Source organism: Homo sapiens, chromosome 1 (genome assembly GCF_000001405.40).
Source record: "Homo sapiens chromosome 1, GRCh38.p14 Primary Assembly".
In the NCBI taxonomy this organism is placed as follows: domain Eukaryota; kingdom Metazoa; phylum Chordata; class Mammalia; order Primates; family Hominidae; genus Homo; species Homo sapiens.
In genome coordinates, this window is record NC_000001.11 from 12878989 (window position 1) to 12888832 (window position 9844).

At 46.4% G+C, this 9844-nt stretch overlaps 1 protein-coding gene across 1 annotated transcript; it reads right to left on the minus strand.

The window, feature by feature from the left end:
- Positions 1-223: 223 nt before the first annotated feature.
- On the minus strand, positions 224-7213 carry PRAMEF4 (PRAME family member 4). The gene is made up of 4 exons (NM_001009611.4): positions 7159-7213; positions 4114-4422; positions 2866-3447; positions 224-1117 (listed from the first exon to the last, which is right to left on the minus strand). The coding sequence occupies exons 2-4, from the start codon at positions 4404-4406 to the stop codon at positions 556-558; spliced, it is 1437 nt and encodes a 478-aa protein (NP_001009611.2). The 5' UTR covers positions 4407-4422; positions 7159-7213; the 3' UTR covers positions 224-555.
- Between the last annotated feature and the right edge of the window lie 2631 nt (positions 7214-9844).

Sequence of the window (9844 nt, forward strand, 5' to 3'; positions counted from 1 at the left end):
TCCAGCCTGGGCAACAAGAGTGAAACTCTGTCTCCAATAAAAGAATGGGAGGAAACTGATTACAATAACCAAATTTCATTTAAATGCCTTGATTTTCTTGGGCTGCATCTTATTGATTGGACAACTCAGTCAGTGCCTTTTGTTTTTTCCATCAATAACTGAAGATTCCTGAGGCTTAAACTGGAAAACAGGTTACTTAATAATAGAGGGCACCAGACAGATTCTGCTCAGTTTTCCTTTATTTCTGATTGTTTCTTTACAACCATCCATGCAAGAGTAACTCCCTCATGTATTCTCAAGCCTGAATTCCACTCTAGACATTCAGATTCCCATTTTCGACTCTACAGGACACAGGTCCCCAAAGTCCCATCGAATCCATGGCAACATTTCCCCCAAGTCCGGCCCCTGCTTGATCAGCTTTCCTTTCCCACTTTCAGAGCCTATGTGTGAAATGATGGGTTCTGTGCTCCCTTTAGGATGTACCTAAGACCTAGGTTTTAGTTTCCAAGTGTCCAGAAGAAAGCGTTTGACATACCCATCCAAATAGGCAGGCATTCAACAGCAGTATTGATCTGCCTCCAGGTCATAAAATGACCTGTTGCCACAGTCAGGGCAGTAGTCAGTACAGAACAAGATCCTCTTGGGGTGCCTTAAGTCCCTCACTCTGTTCATCAGCTCAGCCCTAATTTGAGCAAATCTGCTCCAGCAGAGAGTACCATCAGCACCATAACTCTCCCGGGGGGCAGGATACAGCTCCACGCATAAGTTTTTGAGTATGATTGTGTGGCTCAGCAGGTTCTCCAGGGTGGCCATGCAGATGGGATTTCCACAGAAGCTGAAGGTGTTGAGCTCAAAGCAGCGGCTCAGGGCAGGCAAGATGGCGTTGACTTGGGAGTCTATGATGCCACAGTCATCTAAATCCAGGTACTCAAGGGTGGCTGCAACTTTTTCTAGGAGAATTTGGAGAGGCACAAGACTGTAATTGGTCAGTCTGATGCCACTCAGGTCCAGGGTCTTTAGTTGACTGATACTCGGGCACTGGGATAGATGCTTCAAGTCTGATTCCAAAAGCACACAGTTAGTTATTGTGAGGAACTTTAACGAGGTCTTCAGACAGCTGGGGAGAGAGAGCAAGAAGTTAATTCTGGGGAATCATAGGGGTGAGTGGAGGGTGGTGGGGAATGGCTTCAAGGTAATGGATGGAGACCTTTTTGCCCAAGTCCAGGGTCATTCTGATGGCCTGATGGTCAACACTTAGGATGATGTGTGATGAAGAGCTTTGCCACCGAGGTCAATTCCACTTTAGACCCGGCCCAGTAACTCACACCTGTAATCCCAGCACTTTGGGAGGCTGAGACTGGTGGATTCCTTGAGATCAGGAGTTTGAGACCAGCCTGCTGAACATGGCAAAACCTCCTCTCTACTAAAAATCCAAAAATTAGCCAGGTGTGGTGGGGGGAGCCTGCAATTCCAGCTACTTGGGAAGCTGAGGCAGAAGAATCGCTTGAACCCAGGAGGTGTAGGTTGCAGTGAGCAGAGATCATGCCACTACACTCCAGCCTGGGTGACAGAGAGAGACTCTGTATTAAAAAAAAAAAAGGAGAAAAAATAATTCCATTTGAGGCTGAGTCACTTCACCATCATTTATAGGAATGGATCAAGTTCACAGAATCCCTAAAGCTCCCTTTCCTCATCTGTCAGGCAGAAAACCACATCCCTGGGCCACAGGAGCCCAGTGGAGATTCAGGCATAAAGGACAAACCCAGACAGGATCCTGCAACATCAGCTACGGTGGGCGGGCTGCAGGCGTCCCTGACATGCCTGTATCATCAGCAAACCATCTATCACTTTCACCATTCTTTGTGCCTGCACCCTGACCCTCTGTTTCAGAATCATGCATTGCCTAGATAATTAATTTACCTGGAGCTCAAAAGAAACTTTTACAACAGGGAATTAGAGATGGGATCATTCATGTTCACCAAACTGTGGGGCACAAAGCTGATTTTCTGACAAGTGCAGGTTTGCTGAACATTCCCCTCTTCAGTGCCCACTTCACTTCCCTACTTCACATCATCTTCTTAAAAATTATCTTGTTGGCTGGGCGTGGTAGCTCTCGCCTATAATCCCAGCACTTTGGGAGTCCATGGTGGGTGGATCACCTGAAGTCAGGAGTTGGAGAATAACCTGGCCAACATGGTGAAACCCTGTCTCTACTTAAAATATAAAAATTAGCCAGGTGTGGTGGCTCACGCCTGTAATCCCAGGCACTCAGGAGGCTGAGGCAGGAGAATCGCATGAACCTGGGAGGCAGAAGTTGCTGCGAGCTGAGATGTCACAACTGCACTGTAGCCTAGACGATCAAAGAGAAACTCCATCTCAGAAAAAAAAAGTTATCTTGTTTGTTTTTACTTTTGTTTATTCATTTCTGACAGGGGTCTTGGTATGTTAGCCAGACTGGTCTTAAACTCCTAGGCTCAAGCTATCCTCTTGCCTCAGACTCCCAAAGTGATAGGATTACAGGCATGAGCCACCGCCCCTGGCGTATTTTTCATCATCTTAACTTAGACACACGTCCTCAGGAAGAATTCAGAAAGGCACCCTCACTAGATCTGAACCCCCCAGTAGCTGACTTCCTAGCATGGCAGCCTCTCCATAGCATCTCCCCTAGCTGATCCCTCTGCCTCTATTGGGAGGGTTGCATGATACCCATTTCAGGACAGGGCCGCCCACAGGACAATGCATGGACATTCTAGTGTCCCCTTCACTGTTTCATCCTCATAGGCTGGCTCACAGTAGATGCCCACTAGTGTTTACTGTAACAGGCTCTGCTGTGGTCTGCAGAGAAAGCTCACCACCCTCCCTCACCTGAGCAGCTGGTCCAGGTGGCCTTCGAGGAAAGAAACAGAGTTCATATAAAGCTTTTGGAGGCAGCGCAGCTTGAGGAACTGAGTGGTGAACTGGGTAACAATCTCCTTCTTCTGCTCTGGGGAAACGTAGCGAGAGACATCCATGTGGGAGAGAATGAGTTTCTGAAGATTCCTCATGTGGCCCAGGTATGGGGTAAACTGTGTCAGGATGGGCAGTACCCACTTGCAATTCACTTCCACCTCCTGGATACAGTCTAGGTTCACCATTTTCAGGATGCTTCTGATATTGCGGAAGGGCATTCCCAAAATTTTCAGCTTCTTACAGCACAGGTGTAGTAAATCTTTCCTCTGCTTGACCCATAGAAGGAGGCAGGTGAGGTATTCATCCAGAGTCCTGTTCTTGAGCCAAAGTTCTACGAACACAGTCAAGGGCTGCCGTCCTTTCATCCTTGGACAGTCCTCCACTGGTTTTTTGTTCCTCTTGGCATTGAGGAAGCACCCATGGGCCATAGCTTCAGACCAAACCATCCAGAAGTTCTCACAGACATCCTGTAAATCCAGCACTTGAAGTTTCCACCTCCTGTGGGAAAATAGAGGTGAGACTGAGAATTTCAGAACTCATTTCTGAACTTAAACTCCACATCCTGGATAGCAGCTCCTCCCCTCCCTGCTTCTTGTCCCTCTCTCTGACTTTTCTTCACTCTGTTTTCCCCTTGGATCCTGCCCACTTCCACATTGTTTTGTTTTTTTTTTGAGACCAAGTCTCCCTGTGTCGCCCAGGCTAGAGTGCAGTGGTGTGATGTCACCTCACTGCAACCTCTGCTTCCCAGATTCAAATGATTCTCCTGCCTCAACCTCACAAGTAGCTGGGATTACAGGAGCCCACCACCATGCCCAGCTAATTTTAGTATTTTTAGTAGAGTTGGGGTTTACCATGTTGGACAGGCTGGCCTCCAACTCTTGACCTCAGCCTCCCAATGTGCTGGGAATACATTGTGAGCCACCGTGCCCGGCCCAGTTCTCACTTTTCATGGTGCCTTTCAGTGCCATTAGAGGAGAGGTTCCTGTTACCTCCATGGACCTTGCGTGGTGAGCAGTGCTTTCCCTGAGGAGCTGGTGAATGGCCAAGTCCTCTCGGCTTCCTCACCACCACCATCCCCCTTGGGCCTCCTCACTTCTCACGACCCAGCTGTTCCTTCAGTTGGACACCTGGGCCCTCCCCACCAGCCCACCTGGGCCACCTCACCTGGGACGAACCCCTAGGTTAAGCAGTGCATCCAGCCCATCGAGCACAGCTTGGAAGGCCTCCAGACAAGGCATCTTTATCAGAGGCCTCAGAGGGAGGCGGCGGAAGGGCCAGGACTGCACCATCAGCTTCAGGGCCTCACAGCGTCTCCTGCTGAAGGCCTCCATGAACAGTGGGGGGAAAAGTTCTGTGGGCAGCTCCTCCAGGGTGGACATGGCCAAAGCTTGGTCCCTTAGCAGGCTCCGCCCTGCAAGCTCCAGGAGTCTGGGTGGAGTCCAGATGCTCATCTTCATGAATCTGCAGGGAAAACTTCCAGAGGACAAACCCAGAGAAAAGGCATCTCTCTCGGGCCAAGCCCATGCAATCTCATCCTCTCCTATGGCCAAACTCACTGCTCTGGCAATGGTGAAAGAGTCCTCAGTTTACTCCAATTCTACTCTGTACTCAGTGGCCATTAAGCCAGCATTCTGCCTCTGCTGCATCAGCATGAGCGTCTCCGAAGCAGTGAGGAAGCAGGGCCACCACGAGCCCTTCCTTTCTATCCAGTGCTCCATCCAGTGACTAGTGAGTGTGGAGGAACCTGAAAGTGAACCCCTCCTACCATTGGGGGAAACTACTAATTACTCAAGGTTCTAAAACAATGGGAATGGGAATGTCACAAGCCTACATGCCCACATTTTCAGTTCCTACAAATAAGCTTGTTGGGAACATTCATGGGGCATCCCTAGAACAGGTTCTATTTGTTTTCTTTTCATTATTTAAGCTTGCTTTCTCTTTCTCTCTCTTTCTTCTTTCCTTCTTTCCCTCTCTCCCTCCCTTCTTTCTTTCTTTCCCCCTCTCTCTCCCTTTTTTCTTTCTTGTCTTCTTTCCCTGCCTCCCTTCTCTCATTCTCTCTCTCTTTCTCTCTCTCCCTCTCTCACTCTTTCTGACAGAGTCTTGCTGTGTCACCCAGCCTGGAGTGTAGTGGTGGGATCTCAGCTCAGTGCAGCCTTGACCTCCCAGCTCAAAGGATTCTTCCTCCTCAGCCTCCCAAGTAGCTCGGACCACAGTTATGCATCACCACACCCAGCTCATCTTTTATTTTTTGACTTTTTGTAAAGACAGTGGATTTCGCTATGTTGTCCAAGCTGGTCTTGAACTCCTAGTCTCAAGCAATCTACCCCTCTTGGCCTCCCAACATACTGGGATTATAGGTGTGAGCCTCCACCCCAGCCTCATTATTGAAAATTTCAGTGAGAAGCTTTGAAAGCTATGTGACACTGTTATGCATCATTCTCAAGATAGATGTTTCCAATGCACACTTGTTACACATGTTCAAACTGAACCACTTTGGCTGGGTGCAGTGACTCACACCTGTAATCTGAGCATTTTGTGAGGCCGAGGCAGGTGGATCATCTGAGATCAGGAATTCAAGACGAGCCTGGCCAACATGGTAAAACCCTGACTCTACTAAGACAGCAAAAATTAGCCAGGTGCAGTGGTCTGCGCCTGTAGTCCAAGCTACTAGGGAGGCTGAGGTAGGAGGATCACTTGAACCCAGGAGGCAGAAGTTGCAGTGAGCTGACATTATACCACTCCACTCCAGCCTGGGAAATAGGCTAGATTGAACAGAGAGACAGAGAGAGCTACATTTGACTAGACTTCTTAATCTCTACCCAGTTAATCCTTATTGGATTTTTGGCTTTCTTAAAGATTAACTGATCGAATTAGATATTGATCCATCAAAATGAAAGATTTAGGGATAGGGTGAAAGTCCAGGACTCATTCACTGATTCCCTTCACAAACATGGAGTTTTACTAATATGTGTCCTTCAAAGTCCTGAGTGTGAGACAGGGAAGGGTTGAATCTCTTCCTGATATTAGACAGAAAGAAAGAAAACTTGAAAGTATCTTTGTTGAGGGATCCTTGGCCACATCAAATTTATCAAAATATTTCAGAGTTAAAACAGTTTTCAAAGACAGAGATGACAGTCCCTAAGAAAACACAATAGAAATCTTCATGTATCCGATGATCACCTGGGTCATATAATTGTTTTTGGTGCTGAGGGAGCTGAGTCTCACTTCGTCGCCCAGGCTGGAGTGCAGTGGCACCATCATGGCTCACTGTTACCTCCGCCTCCAAGATTCAAGCAATTCTCATGCTTCAGCCTTCCACATAGCTGGGACTACAGGCATGCACCCCCCACAGCCATGCCTCCATTTGGGTGGAAGAGGATGTGATTGGTTTAAAATTAAGGTCAAAGATCCTTTTTGATTGATTTTGTTTTTGTTTTTGGACAGAGTGTCTCTCTTTTGCCCAGGCTGGAGTACAGTAGTGGTGTGAGCATGGCTCACTGCAGCCTCAATCTTCTGGGCTCAAGTGATTCTCCCACACCAGCCACCCAAATAGCTGGGACTACAGATGCATGGTGACTCACAGCTGTAATCCCAGCACTTTGGGAGGCCAAGGCAGGTGGATCACTTGAGGTCAGGTGTTCGAGACCAACCTGGCCAGCGTGGTGAAACCCCACCTCTACTAAAAATACAAAAGTTAGCCAGGCATGGTTTCAGATGTCTGTGACACCAGCTTCTGAGGATGGAGACTGAGGCATGAGAATTGCTTGAACCCGGGAAGTAAAGGTTGCAGGGAGTTGAGATCATGCCACTGCACTCCAGTCTGGGCAACACAGTGAGACTCCATCCCCACCCTCAAAAAAAAAACGTTGTGCAGAGGAGGGTTTTTGTCATGTTGTCCAGGTTGGTCTCAAATCCCTGGGCTGAAATGATCCTCCCACTTTGGCCTCCCGAAGTGTTGGGGTTAAAGGCATGAGTCACTGCTCCCTTCAAGAATTTTAAAATGGCATCAACCAAAGCACAATCAACTTTTTTGAAATAAAGACAGAACTGCCTTTAGAGGAAAAAATTCAAAGCTTCCAATTGTTCATATAAAAAAAAAAAAAAAAGGACAGGATATAGCTCTGTGCCATCGTAGGCTGCACTGTCACCATCCCAGACCGACTGACTGTAGGTCAGATGGGAGTGTCCTTACAGAAATTAGTGACTTACCAGATCTGGATGTAGTCTAGAAGGTTCTCAGATCTCAGGAAGAACCAAGCAGGAACTCCAGGCTTGAAGACTTTGGGTCTCTCCTGTGGGTCCTTAGAAGCTTTTACTGACCTTTCTAATCACAACTCCCACCCACGCCCCTCCACGTATGCACTGCTAGCTTCCAATCAAAAAGCAATATCTGATTGCATTTGTGAAGCTCCACCCAGTTAATCCTGATTGGGTTTTTGGCTTTCCCCAGATTAATGGATTGAGTCAGATATCCATTCATATCACATATCTGTATTCAGTTCGTGAAGCAAGAAATTGACAGTGTTAGGGATAGGGTAGAAGTCAAGAATACATTCATTCAAGGGTGGGCGAGGTGGCTCATACCTGTAATTCCAGCACTTTGGAAGGAGAAGGTGAGTAGATCACCTGATGTCAGGGGTTCAAGACCAGTCAGGTCAAAAAGGTGAAACCCCGTCTCTACAAAAATACAAAAATTAGCTGGGCATGATGGCAGGCACCTGAAACCCAGCTACTTGGGAGGCTGAGGCAGGAGAATTGCTTGAACCCAGGAGGCAATGGTTGCAGTGAGCCAGATTTGTGCCACTGCACTCCAGTCTGGGTGACAGAGGGAGATTCTGTCAAAAAATAAAAAAATCATTCATTCATGAACTCCACAAACACTGATGGTATTTTATTAATATGTGAACTTCATAATCTTGAGTGTGAGGCAGGGAAGGATTTGATCTGTTCCCAACATTAGACAGAAAAATAAAATCTGAAAGTAGTGTTGTTAGGAGATCTTTGGCCACATCAAAATATAAAAATGCTTTCTACTTTAAAAAGCTTTATAAAAACAGAGGAGTCATCCCTACGATATCAGAATAAAAATCTCAATGTATTGAATGGTCTTTGGGATTTTATATAACCTAAGGTAGCAGATTACATGCTCGTTCTGGTGGAGGAGAGGTGCTACTGAGGGCGTGAGTGGTCTCAGTGCTTAGGTTAAGGCTTCTTTGGAAGAAATTGAAACCACATCGATAAACTTTATAAATTTAATCAGTGAAGAAGGGAGGGAGAGAAAGAAAAATAAACCAAGCTTGCAACACATTCAGCATTCATCAGGAGGTCTTCTTGCTCTCTGACCTGGTTCCTCATGGTTGCTGGCAGCCTACTGTTCCAAAATCATATAGACCTTAGATTACAGTTCCCCTTAACTTCCCTGCAGACAACGATTCAAGCATTGTAAAACATTAACTTTTTCATCTGAGATATTCTTTCAGGTTCTGCATGTCAGTGAAACTACTGATGCCAGCTGATCTGAAGGGCCATGCAATGCACCAACTCACCAAAGAATGCAGTTTCTACATCCTGTTGACTTCTTCCCTCTTACCGCTACCCCAACTTTCCGGCCCCTTGCTATCCAGGATCCACTGGAAACCTTCAGTACTCCTTGGGGAGATGAATTTGAGGATCTCCTCCTAGCTTCTCATTCAGCCACCTTGTGATCATTAAACTCTCTGCTGCAAACCCTGCTGTCTCAGAATATTGCTAAGCTACTGTGCAGCAGGCATAGGAACCTGATGGTCCTGTAATAAAGTCATGTCAAAATTACAAATGGAAGTGAGGGTGGAGCTGGTCAGGGTTGAGCTGGGTTTTTAATGGGAACCTGGGAGTGAAGCAAGACTTGCTGAACATGTTGGGGGTTATTGAGTGGGTGTAAGAGGAATCTATCTAACATTGCACTGATGCCCTTTTGGTTTTAATCCTTATGACCAAGTATGAGTCTTTCAAAACAATTTGTATAATCCTCCTTATTTTTCCTTTCAAAACCTTCAACTTCCTTTATCTCCCCAAATAATCTCGCATCTATTGCCACTTCTTTGCTTACTTCATAATAAACTTTTTTTTTTACAGAGTCTTCTTTTCTGTTAAGTACACCATATATGTTGTTGCCACACAAGATGAATAACCTGGTTCTATGGACAGAAAGGGTCAAAAGGATCCCATTCCTCAACAGCTGGGGGTGATGTAAAGGTCATGGTTATTCTTTGTCATATCTGCACCTGCATATTGCCAGTGAAAACTTGCAGGTCACATTGGGCAGGCTTCCAAATTCACCACCTGTGGAAGGTCTTTCGCTTGGCTTACATCCTGTCCCTGAGTAAAGAGTCTGATCGTGAGTTCATGAGTGCTTCAAACTCTACAAGTATTGATGAAGGCTTCCACCCACTGACAGTGAGAAGGCACTGATTTGATGCTGATCATGAAGTTCTGCTGGTTGTCTTGCAAGGAATATGTTTTATTCTTTTATCTTGTCATCTAAAGCCAATGATTGTAACCTCTGTTTGTACCTTCCAATGGAAAAAACAAAAACAAAAACTCAACTCTATTTGACCCTTGTCAGGTCAATAAAACAAAAGAAAATTTAAAAAAATAATTGATAGGAGGAGTTCCTTTCCCAGCCCAGGCAATAGAGTGAGACTCCATCTCAAAAGGAAAAAAAAAAAAATGGCCGGGCACGGTGGTGGCTCACACCTCTAATCCCAGCACTTCAGGAGGCCAAGGCAGGTAGATCACGATGCCAAAAATTGAGACCATCCTAGCCAACATGGTGAAACCCTGTCTCTGCTAAAAATACAAAAATTAGCTGGGCATGGTGGCGCCCACCCATTGTCCTAGCTACTCGAGAGACTGA